Source organism: Homo sapiens, chromosome 15, assembly GCF_000001405.40.
Source record: "Homo sapiens chromosome 15, GRCh38.p14 Primary Assembly".
NCBI classification, from domain to species: domain Eukaryota; kingdom Metazoa; phylum Chordata; class Mammalia; order Primates; family Hominidae; genus Homo; species Homo sapiens.
Window position 1 is genome coordinate 87,323,686 of NC_000015.10, and position 13,034 is coordinate 87,336,719.

A 13,034-nucleotide genomic window follows, 5' to 3' on the forward strand; every position below is an offset into this window, starting at 1 on the left:
ACACTCATTAAAAAGCACCATTAACAAAATAAACTGGCAAATTACAGACAAGAAGAAAAGTTTTTCAATATATAATATTGGATAAATAAATTATATGCAGAATACATGATGTATTCCTATAAAGCCATAACAAAAAAAATCCAATTTTAAATGGGCAAAAGACTTAAACACATAATCACCAAAAAAATGCATGAATAGACAAGAAGCTCAAGATAAGGCACTCAGTTACCAGGTAAATGCAACTTTAAGCCATAATATAAAGCCATTTAATATTTTCCAATTGAGATAAATAAAAAGACTGATAATACCAAATGGTTTGGAGGTAATGAAGTAGCTAAACTTCTCACACACTGCTTGTAGAGGCAGGCTTCAAAAACTCTGGCAATTTTAAAAATAAACTAAGCATAGATACAACCTATAAGCCAACAATTTGAATCCCAGCTATGTACGCAAGAGAAATAAAAACATCAATGCATGCAAGACTTAGGCAAGAAAGTTTATGGAAGCCTTATTCTTAACAGCCCCAAACGGAAAACAACTATCAGGAGGTATTTGAATCAACAAATTGCAGCATATTCACACAATGAAATATTCATCAACAACAAAAATGAATGGCCTACTGATACATATGACAATATAAATAAATCTAAAAAATATCAGACACTAAAGAATACATACATACCATCAGAAGGAATTGCCTTTGTGGGGTCTGGGATGACACTGAATGAAAGGGGCATGAAGAATCTCTCTGGGAAGTTAGAATATTTCTATATCTTGTTTTAGGTAGCAGTTACATAGGTATAGGCAATAGTCAAAACTTACCAAGCTTCAAACTAATACTGTATTTTTGAAAATTTTTGTATTGTATTTTTGTATTGTATTTTGTGTGGTGTTTTTGAAAAAAAGACCTTATTCTGAAAAAGGTCTTCAGAAGCCACAGTAAGAACCCTCCTAAAATATCTCCACTCAGTTACAGTGAACAATTCAGGAGAACGAAGAGGAAGGCCAATTTTAATTTCTTCATGCTGGAAGAGCATCATTACGACAAGTTTTCAAGTTGGAGTGTAAAATATGTTCTATCCCTTACTCAATTTTTTAGTCCATTGGATAGTGAAGCCATGCATTTTCCTCTCCTGAAATAACTGTTGGAAGTCAGAGATCAAAATTCTCTAATGTGAAAAATGCAGATGAGGATTTAGAAGGCTTGGACATTCAAGTTCCAAGTCAGCAATGGTACAGGTGACTTTGGGCAAGTCCATGAACCATCTGGAGCTCAGTTTTCCACTGTAGGTCATATGTGTGTGAGGCAGGTGAGGGGAGGGGGAGTTGTACCACCTAGTGATGGACAAAGATTTGTGATGGCAATATAATGAGAGAGGGAAGTTCAAAGAGGAGAGTTTGAGCTTTCAAATGCCCTGAGAGACAGAAAGTATTTTCTTTTAATTCTAAGATATATTAAGGCACTACCTAGCTAAACAGCATCTTTGGGATGCTCTGAAATTAGTAACCTGGAATTAAACTTCCCAGTGAGGGCTGAATGTATGGGACTGAGATGCTAGAGGCTGAAATATCAGAAGACACCTCCCAGTGGGAAAGTCAAGAAAGATAAATATATAAATAAAACCTCTAAATACCAAGAATAACATCGATAGCTGAACATTTAGAGTCAAGCCAACAGAGTTTGAAATACCCATGTGCATATTTAGTATGCATATACTACATATTAGTGATACACATAGGCATGCACACACTTTGTAAATATGAACTCTATAGTCCTATGTTAAAAGTGTTTGAAAATTGGAGTCAGAATAGGACCAATTTAGTATACTAGATATTCATGGCTGTGTTTGACAGAATAGGTCACACATGTAGGAAAAGCTTCTTTAAAATAACGTGAAGGAATAATATTTTAAAGTACTAATTAGTGTGATTTAAATTTCACACCTATTAATAGTATTTTCCTGGGTCTTCAACATAATTACTAGTATATATCTATTAAAAGATGGATTTCAATACTATCCCTTTGTATAACTTGTTTTAAGAACCTTTAAGTAAGTCTAAACAGCATTTTACTTTGAGAATATTCTTCACTGGAAAACTGAATGTGTTATTTTGGATGTATCATTAGTTTCCTCAACCAAAATTTTTTACCATTCTTTATTATGTATTGAGGGAAGTTTTTAAAGGCTATTACAAAACCGACTCACATTCCATCGGGTGTCACAAGTTTATGAAGATATTATCACCACACCAGGAAGTATTCATGATTTGTTTCAGAACATTGAATAAGGTACCATGTTCAAATACTGCTAAAGAAAGTGTAATACAAACGTTTATGTGCATGATGCTTAACAAAGACCTGAAAAACAAAGACCTGAAAATTATAGGCATGTAATTAGAATTTCTCAATAATTTGTCAGATGATAGGGCGGGAATTATTGCACTCATTTGACTGATAAGGAAACTGAGGCTCAGAGGTTTGGTAACTTAACCAATGAAACCCATGTACTAATAGGCATGATACAAACTTGACCTTGGTCTTCTGATTTAGATAAGGACTTTTCACAGCCCCAATGGCCTTTCTGACTTGCACTTTAATTTTAGAATTGTATATACTTTTTGCTATAAAAGCCACAGAGCTTATCTTCCACATGAAAAGTAACAATGACTCATGTCCTTGATTTCAAGCTGCTAACCTTTAGCAGGATAGGAAAAGGGACTTCAGAATTTAAGACAAAGAGACCTGGAGGGGAAAGTAGACTCAATACAAATAAGCCTAGTTATCCCTAGCTCATACTCTTTTAAAATAGATCAGCCAAAGGGAATTCTGGGGGAAAAAAGGAGAAACCATCACTCAAAGGAGATAATAATCTTAATTGAAACCAGAAAGCCTTCAGACCTCCTTGTGTATAAATGTATGTGCTGTAATAGTGAACATTTAAAATCCCTACTGGATTTTTAACATTCTGGACGTGTTTAATCTTTTTTTTCTTCTTTTTTCCTAATTGGAGGTGGATAGGGAGGAGGAAGTTCAGGAAAATCAGAATCCCTGAACCATTCTCTGCTTCCTGAAAGTTCTTTCTATGGTGCTCCACTGGGCTGTCTGGAATCCAGGATCTTGGGGGAATAACAATGATGTGGCACTCTAAAGGAAAAAAAGAAAATAAAGAAATAAGAACTTGGTATTCTTAAGGAAACATGCTGTAGTGACAGGTATCCATGGGTTCCCTTGGAGAGCGGAAATGAAGTTGGTTAAAATTCTGCATCTGAACACACTAAAGATAGAGACAGTCACATGAGAATGTGGAGCAGAGATTTTTCTGCTATAATTCAGCTCACAACATCTTTTGAATAAACAATGAAAATATACAAATATAATAGAGACATCCTATGATATTGTCATAGAAGAAATACATATTCTGTTTCTGTCCTTGGTTCCTGGCAGAAAATTCATAAAACCCTTGGAATTTCCCTATAGGGGTGAGAGGGGCATTTTTTGCTATGCATAATAAGCCCCAATCAACTACACCTGAGTTTATGCTAATGAGGTGACTCTTAGGGGATGGGACTGGTTGCTTGAGGAAACAACCATGTGACAAGAGGGTTGGAACTTTCAGCCCTAACCCTTGACCTCTGGGAAGGGGAAGACAGGCTGGAGATTAGCTTTAATCACCAATAGCCAATTATTTTTTTCTTTTTTTTTCTTTTTTTATTATTATTATACTTTAAGTTTTAGGGTACATGTGCACAATGTGCAAGTTAGTTACATATGTATACATGTGCCATGCTGGTGAGCTGCACCCACTAACACATCATCTGGCATTAGGTATATCTCCCAATGCTATCCCTCCCACCTCCCCCCACCCCACCACAGTCCCCAGAGTGTGATGTTCCCCTTCCTGTGTCCATGTGTTCTCATTGTTCAATTCCAACCTATGAGTGAGAATATGCGGTGTTTGGTTTTTTGTTCTTGTGATAGTTTAGTTTACTGAGAATGATGATTTCCAATTTCATCCATGTCCCTACAAAGGACATGAACTCATCCTTTTTTATGGCTGCATAGTATTCCATGGTGTATATGTGCCACATTTTCTTAATCCAGTCTATCAATCATTGTTGGACATTTGGGTTGGTTCCAAGTCTTTGCTATTGTGAATAATGCCGCAATAAACATACGTGTGCATGTGTCTTTACAGCAGCATGATTTATAGTCATTTGGGTATATACCCAGTAATGGGATGGCTGGGTCAAATGGTATTTCTAGTTCTAGATCCCTGAGGAATCGCCACATTAACTTCCACAATGGTTGAACTAGTTTACAGTCCCACCAACAGTGTAAAAGTGTTCCTATTTCTCCATATCCTCTCCAGCACCTGTTGTTTCCTGACTTTTTAATGATTGCCATTCTAACTGCTGTGAGATGGTATCTCATTATGGTTTTGATTTGCATTTCTCTGATGGCTAGTGATGGTGAGCATTTTTTCATGTGTTTTTTGGCTGCATAAATGTCTTCTTTTGAGAAGTGTCTGTTCATGTCCTTTGCCCACTTTTTGATGGGGTTGTTTGTTTTTTTCTTGTAAATTTGTTTGAGTTCATTGTAGATTCTGGATATTAGCCCTTTGTCAGATGAGTAGATTGTGAAAATTTTCTGCCATTTTGTAGGTTGCCTGTTCACTCTGACAGTGGTTTCTTTTGCTGTGCAGAAGCTCTTTAGTTTAATTAGATCCCATTTGTCAATTTTGGCTTTGGTTGCCATTGCTTTTGGTGTTTTAGACATGAAGTCCTTACCCATGCCTATGTCCTGAATGGTAATGCCTAGGTTTTCTTCTAGGGTTTTTATGGTTTTAGGTCTAACATTTAAGTCTTTAATCCATCTTGAATTAATTTTTGTATAAGGTGTAAGGAAGGGATCCAGTTTCAGCTTTCTACATATGGTTAGCCAGTTTTCCCAGCACCATTTATTAAATAGGGAATCCTTTCCCCATTGCTTGTTTTTCTCAGGTTTGTCAAAGATCAGATAGTTGTAGATATGCGGCATTATTTCTGAGGGCTCTGTTCTGTTCCATTGATCTATATCTCTGTTGTGGTACCAGTACCATGCTGTTTTGGTTACTGTAGCCTTTTAGTATAGTTTGAAGTCAGGTAGTGTAATGCCTCCAGCTTTGTTCTTTTGGCTTAGGATTGACTTGGCAATGTGGGCTCTTTTTTGGTTCCATATGAACTTTAAAATACTTTTTTCCAATTGTGTGAAGAAAGTCATTGGTAGCTTGGTAGGGATGGCATTGAATCTGTAAATTACCTTGGGCAGTATGGCCATTTTCATGACATTGATTCTTCCTACCCATGAGCATGGAATGTTCTTCCATTTGTTTGTATCCTCTTTTATTTCCTTGAGCAGTGGTTTGTAGTTCTCCTTGAAGAGGTCCTTCACATCCCTTGTAAGTTGGATTCCTAGGTATTTTATTCTCTTTGAAGCAGTTGTGAATGCGATTTCACTCATGATTTGGCTGTTTGTCTGTTGTTGGTGTATAAGAATGCTTGTGATTTTTGTACGTTGATTTTATATCCTGGGACTTTGCTGAAGTTGCTTATCAGCTTAAGTAGATTTTGGGCTGAGACAATGGGGTTTTCTAGATATACAATCATGTCATCTGCAAACAGGGACAATTTGACTTCCTCTTTTCCTAATTGAATGCCCTTTATTTCCTTCTCCTGCCTAATTGCCCTGGCCAGAACTTCCAACATTATGTTGAATAGGAGTGGTGAGAGAGGGCATCCCTGTCTTGTGCCAGTTTTCAAAGGGAATGCTTCCAGCTTTTGCCCATTCAGTATTATATTGGCTGTGGGTTTTTCATAGATAGCTCTTATTATTTTGAGATACGTCCCATCGATACCTAATTGATAGAGAGTTTTTAGCATGAAGGGTTGTTGAATTTTGTCAAAGGCCTTTTCTGCATCTATTGAGATAATCATGTGGTTTTTGTCTTTGGTTCTGTTTATATGCTGGATTACATTTATTGATTTGTGTATATTGAACCAGCCTTGCATCCCAGGGATGAAGCCCACTTGATCATGGTGGATAAGCTTTTTGATGTGCTGCTGGATTTGGTTTCCCAGTATTTTATTGAGGATTTTTGCATCAATGTTCATCAAGGATATTGGTCTAAAATTCTCATTTCTGGTTGTGTCTCTGCCCGGCTTTGGTATCAGGATGATGTTGGCCTCATAAAATGAGTTAGGGAGGATTCCCTCTTTTTCTATTGATTGGTATAGTTTCAGAAGGAATGGTACCAGTTCCTCCTTGTACCTGTGGTAGAATTCGGCTGTGAATCCATCTGGTCCTGGACTCTTTTTGGTTGGTAAGCTATTGATTATTGCCACAATTTCAGCTCCTGTTATTGGTCTATTCAGAGATTGAACTTCTTCCTGGTTTAGTCTTGGGAGAGTGTATGTGTTGAGGAATTTATCCATTTCTTCTAGATTTTCTAGTTTATTTGCTTAGAGGTGTTTGTAGTATTCTCTGATGGTAGTTTGTATTTCTGTGGGATCGGTGGTGATATCCCCTTTATCATTTTTTATTGTGTCTATTTGATTCTTCTCTCTTTTTTTCTTTATTAGTCTTGCTAGCAGTCTATCAATTTTGTTGATCCTTTCAAAAAACCAGTTCCTGGATTCATTAATTTTTTGAAGGGTTTTTTGTGTCTCCATTTCCTTCAGTTCTGCTCTGATCTTAGTTATTTCTTGCCTTCTGCTAGCTTTTGAATGTGTTTGCTCTTGCTTTTCTAGTTCTTTTAATTGTGATGTTAGGGTGTCAATTTTGGATCTTTACTGCTTTCTCTTGTAGGCATTTAGTGCTATAAATTTCCCTCTACACACTGCTTTGAATGTGTCCCAGAGATTCTGGTGTGTTGTGTCTTTGTTCTTGTTGGTTTCAAAGAACATCTTTATTTCTGCCTTCATTTCGTTATGTACCCAGTAGTCATTCAGGAGCAGGTTGTTCAGTTTCCATGTAGTTGAGCAGTTTTGAGTGAGATTCTTAATGCTGAGTTCTAGTTTGATTGCACTGTGGTCTGAGAGACAGTTTGTTATAATTTCTGTTCTTTTACATTTGCTGAGGACAGCTTTACTTCCAAGTACATGGTCAGTTTTGGAATAGGTGTGGTGTGGTGATGAAAAAAATGTATATTCTGTTGATTTGGGGTGGAGAGTTCTGTAGATGTCTATTAGGTCTACTTGGTGCAGAGCTGAGTTCAATTCCTGGGTATCCTTGTTGACTTTCTGTCTCATTGATCTGTCTAATTTTGACAGTGGGGTGTTAAAGTCTCCCATTATTAATGTGTGGGAGTCTACGTCTCTTTGTAGGTCACTCAGGACTTGCTTTATGAATCTGGGTCCTCCTGTATTGGGTGCATGTATATTTAGGATAGTTAGCTCTTCTTGTTGAATTGATCCCTTTACCATTATGTAATGGCCTTCTTTGTCTCTTTTGATCTTTGTTGGTTTAAAGTCTGTTTTATCAGAGACTAGGATTGCAAACCCTGCCTTTTTTTGTTTTCCATTTGCTTGGTAGATCTTCCTCCATCCTTTTATTTTGAGCCTATGTGTGTCTCTGCATGTGAGATGGGTTTCCTGAATACAGCACACTGATGGGTCTTGACTCTTTATCCAATTTGCCAGTCTGTGTCTTTTAATTGGAGCATTTAGCCCGTTTACATTTAAAGTTAATATTATTATGTGTGAATTTGGGTCATTATGATGTTAGCTGGTTATTTTGCTCGTTAGTTCCTGCAGTTTCTTCCTATTCTCGATGGTCTTTACATTTTGGCATGATTTTGCAGCGGCTGGCACCGATTGTTCCTTTCCATGTTTAGCACTTCCTTCAGGAGGTCTTTTAGGGCAGGCCTGGTGGTGACAAAATCTCTCAGCATTTGCTTGTCTGTAAAGTATTCTATTTCTCCTTCACTTATGAAGCTTAGTTAGCCTGGATATGAAATTCTGGGTTGAAAATTCTTTTCTTTAAGAATGTTGAATATTGGCCCCCACTCTCTTCTGGCTTGTAGAGTTTCTGCCAAGAGATCCACTGTTAGTCTGATGGGCTTCCCTTTGTGGGTAACCTGACCTTTCTTTCTGGCTGTCCTTAATATTTTTTCCTTCATTTCAACTTTGGTGAATCTGACAATTATGTGTCTTGGAGTTGCTCTTCTCGAGGAGTATCTCTGTGGCGTTCTCTGTATTTCCTGAATCTGAATGTTGGCCTGCCTTGCTAGATTGGGGAAGTTCTCCTGGATATTATCCTGCAGAGTGTTTTCCAACTTGGTTCCATTCTCCCCATCGCTTTCAGGTACACCAATCAGACATAGATTTGGTCTTTTCACATAGTCCCATATTTCTTGGAGGCTTTGCTCGTTTCTTTTTATTCTTTTTTCTCTAAACTTCCCTTCTCGCTTCATTTCATTCACTTCATCTTCCATCGCTGATACTCTTTCTTCCAGTTGATCGCATCGGCTCCTGAGGCTTCTGCATTCTTCACGTAGTTCTCGAGCCTTGGTTTTCAGCTCCATCAGCTCCTTTAAGCACTTCTCTGTATTGGTTATTCTAGTTATACATTCTTCTAAATTTTTTTCAAAGTTTTCAACTTCTTTGCCTTTGGTTTGAATGTCCTCCCGTAGCTCAGAGTAATTTGATCGTCTGAAGCCTTCTTCTCTCAGCTCGTCAAAGTCATTCTCCATCCAGCTTTGCTCCGTTGCTGGTGAGGAACTGTGTTCCTTTGGAGGAGGAGAGGCGCTCTGCTTTTTAGAGTTTCCAGTTTTTCTGCTCTGTTTTTTCCCCATCTTTGTGGTTTTATCTACTTTTGGTCTTTGATGATGGTGACGTACAGATGGGTTTTCGGTGTGGATGTCCATTCTGTTTGTTAGTTTTCCTTCTAACAGACAGGACCCTCAGCTGCAGGTCTGTTGGAGTACCTGGCCTTGTGAGGTGTCAGTCTGCCCCTGCTGCGGGGGGTGCCTCCCAATTAGGCTGCTCAGGGGTCAGGGACCCACTTGAGGAGGCAGTCTGCCCGTTCTCAGATCTCCAGCTGCATGGTGGGAGAACCACTGCTCTCTTCAAAGCTGTCAGACTGGGACATTTAAGTCTGCAGAGGTTATTGCTGTCTTTTCGTCTGTCTGTGCCCTGCCCCCAGAGGTGGAGCCTACAGAGGCAGGCAGGCCTCCTTGAGCTGTGGTGGGCTTCACCCTGTTCGAGCTTCCTGGCTGCTTTGTTTACCTAAGCAAGCCTGGGCAATGGCAGGCGCCCCTCCCCAGCCTTGCTGCCGCGTTGCAGTTTGATCTCAGACTGCTGTGCTAGCAATCAGCGAGACTCCGTGGGCGTAGGACCCTCTGAGCCAGGTGCAGGATAAAATCTCCTGGTGTGCTGTTTTTTAAGCCTGTCGGAAAAGCGCAGTATTTGGGTGGGAGTGACCCGATTTTCCAGGTGCCGTCTGTCACCCCTTTCTTTGACTCGGAAAGGGAACTCCCTGACCCCTTGCGCTTCCCGAGTGAGGCAATGCCTCGCCCTGCTTTGGCTGGCGCACGGTGCGTGCACCCACTGACCTGCGCCCACTGTCTGGCACTCCCTAGTGAGATGAACCCGGTACCTCATATGGAAATGCAGAAATCACCTGTCTTCTGCGTCGCTCATGCTGGGAGCTGTAGACCAGAGCTGTTCCTATTCGGCCATCTTGGCTCCTCCTCAAAACTATAGCCAATTATTTAATCAGTAATTCTTATGTAATGAAGTCTCCATCAAAACTGTAATGGAAAGGATTCAGAGAGCTTCTGGGTGGCCAAACACATAGAGGTGCTGGAAGGGCAACATGCTTGGAGAGAGCATGTGGAAGCTCCACGTTGCCCCTGTACCTTGCACTGTGCGTCTTTTCCATTTGGGAAAGATGTATCCTGAGTTGTATCTTTTTATGATAAACAGGTAAATATAAGTAAATATTTCCCTGAATTATTTGAGCCATTCTATCAAATTACTGAACCCAAGGAGTCATGGATATTCCTGACTTATAGCTGGTGGGTCATAAGTACAAGAGGTCCAGACTTTCAACTGGCATCTGAAGTTGGGGGTAAGTCTTGTGCCACTGAGCTCTTAGCTTGTGGAGTCTATACAAACTATGTGCATTTAATGTCAGAATTGAGTTAAATTGTCCACCAAACATTGGAGAATTGGTTGGTGTGGGAAAAACCACCAGACATTTGGTGTCAGAAGGGTTCTGTGTGAGTGTAGAGAAAAATTTATTTATTTTATATATCATTAAATAGAGCCAATCCATGAAGACTCCCATTCTCTTGTGTGCTTGAGCATCTTTTTAAAAAGAAATATCTCCAGGGCAAAACCAAGTTAAGGAAAGTTATTGGTACGACCCTCCAGCCACAGGTATAGAAGGCAGGCACAGCTCAGGTGAGAAATATATTGTCTCTGATTGTTTTCTTTAAAATTGTAGTCATCACTCATCGCTCTTAACCACTCTATAAGAGAGGGCAGGATGTAGGGTCCTTGGCTCTTAAAAACAAAAACAAACAAACAAACAGGGACTTCTAATTTTAGCTCTGACATATCCCATTTTACAACAAAAAAAATCTAGGTAAGTTAAACACTAATGACTTTTCTTATACCCATCAGAGGAATGAGTTTTCAAGCCTAACCTCCAGCCTGAAATCTGAAGAACCATATAAATTCAGAGTTACAGGTGAAATCTGTTTATGTAGAGCAGAAACCACTAAGGATATAAAATGATAGAAACACTTAAATAATAATTTTGATGAATTGCTGGAGAGGGTGTGTGTACTAGTTTGAATGAAGCTCATACTTCATTCTGGGGCTATAGTCCTAGGGAGGCTCCCACACTTCTGTAGGATTTACCTCCAGCAACATCCAGGAATCTTCACATGCTGAAGACCAGAGAAAGATACTTTCCTGGCACTAGTAGGAGGAGTTAAAGGGTAATCCTTTTGAAATATGCCCAGAGCCTTCCCTATAATAAAGACCCAGGGAATAAGAATTTACCAGAACCTTGTCCCAAGGAATAAGGAAAGAACATTCCTCCAACTCCAGTCCCCTCTAGCCTGTATTTCACACCAAAAGTGGGAGGTTGGAGAGGTTGGCCCTAAAAGAAGAAATACTTCTGAACTTCTGAAGATCACAGTTCAGAGAAGCAAGGCCAGTAAAAGAATTAGATTTAATTAGAATTTTGTAGAACACTCCTCTTGTTTTATGCCTTAACACCACATCAAAATGGAGAATAGGTTTACAGATTACAGCTGAAAAAACTGCAAGATGCAGACCCTCTCTGAGGAAGCCAATGTGAAAAGAGAAGACAAATCAAGGACACTGGAGAATTTAAAGCCTCTGGTACCTATAATGACAATAAGCATCAAACAAAACCTAAACTCCTAGTCAAATTAACATAAAACCTTATACTAAGGGCTTATATATCTCAATTCCTATGACCAATATCATATCAAGCTTCCAACAAAATATTACAGTTTGAAGAGGTTGGTACATCAGAACCAGTCGATATGACAAAGATGCTGGAATTATAGAAAATGTAAGATAATTATAATTGATATGGTAATGGTTCTCATGGGAAAAGTAGAGTGCTTGAGAAAACAAATAGATAAACTATGAAGAGAGATGGAAACTCCGAGAATAAAATGAAAGAAAGAAGTAGACATGAAAAATACTGTAATAGAAATAAATAATGTTTATAATGAGCTCATTGGTAAACTGATCACAGTTTAGTGAAGAATCAGTGAGTTTGATGATAGGAGCTTCACAAACTGAAATAGAAAGAGAAAAAATAGTTTTAAAAAAGGACAGACCATTCAATGACTGTACAATTATTTCAAAACATGTGACACACATAAGTGCAATACCAGAAGAAAGAGAGAATAGAGTACAAACAACGTATACAGTAACACTGGTGGAGAATTTTCCAAAATTAATAACAGCCACTAAATCACAGACCCAAGAAGATGAGAGAACACCAAATAGAATGAATACCAAAGGAAATACATTTATACATATCTTATTTAAACTTCAGACAAACAAAAGAAAAGAGAATATCTTTAAAGTAGCCAGGGGAAAAGGATGGTCCTTGGGTGGTTGAGGGGAGACACATTACCTTTAGGGAGCATAGATAAGGATTACAGCATACTTTCTCAAGAGAAACCAGGCAAGCAAGAAGAGACTGGAGTAAAAACAATGTAAGGTATTGAAAGGAAAAAACAACTATCAGACTAGATTTCAATATCCAGTGAAATTATCTTTCAAGTGCAAAGGAGAAATAAAGACATTATCAAACAAAGAAAAACACTGAGGGAATTCATTGCCAGCAGCTCTGCCCTGCAAGCTGTATTAAACATTTTCTTTAGGCAGGTAGCAAATGGCAAGAAACTTGGATCCACATTTTAAAATGAAATAGTATCAGAGAAGTAATAAATAAGAGGCTGGGTGCGGTGGCTCACGCTTGTAATCCTAGCACTTTGGGAGGCTGAGGCAGGAGGATCACCTGAGTTTGAGAGTTCAAGACCAGCCTGACCAACATGGAGAAACTATGTCTCTACTAAAAATGCAAAATTAGCCAGGTGTGGTGGCGCATGCCTGTAATCCCAGCTACTTGGGAGGCTGAGGCAGGAGAATCGTTTGAACCCAGGAAGCAGAGGTTGTGGTGAGCTGAGATCACACCATTGCAATCCAGCCTGGGCAACAAGAGCAAAACTCCATCTCAGAAATAAATAAATAATATATATAAAATTACTATTTATTTAAAGTAATAATAGTAACAGTGTTAATAAGTCAAAAAATGACAGTAATGACTGACATAAGAAATTAGAGGAAGGAATTAGGAATATTCTGTTTTAGTTACCTGAACTACAGGTGAAATTGAATTTTGTAATTTAAATGTGGGCTTAAATTAGTTAGAATGTATATTGTAAACTATAGTTCAGTGTTTAAACAGATTTTTTAAAGAAGCGTAATGAATACATTAA

The 13,034-nt window shown here is 38.6% G+C and overlaps 1 long non-coding RNA gene across 1 annotated transcript in view; it reads right to left on the reverse strand.

Annotated features, from left to right (window-relative positions):
* Positions 1-483: 483 nt before the first annotated feature.
* Positions 484-13,034, reverse strand: part of LOC102724465 (uncharacterized) — a 379,687-nt gene continuing 367,136 nt past the window's right edge. Inside the window, exon 13 of the long non-coding RNA NR_187944.1 lies at positions 484-3,145. This is a non-coding gene — a long non-coding RNA (uncharacterized LOC102724465). The remainder of the gene's footprint in view (positions 3,146-13,034) is intronic.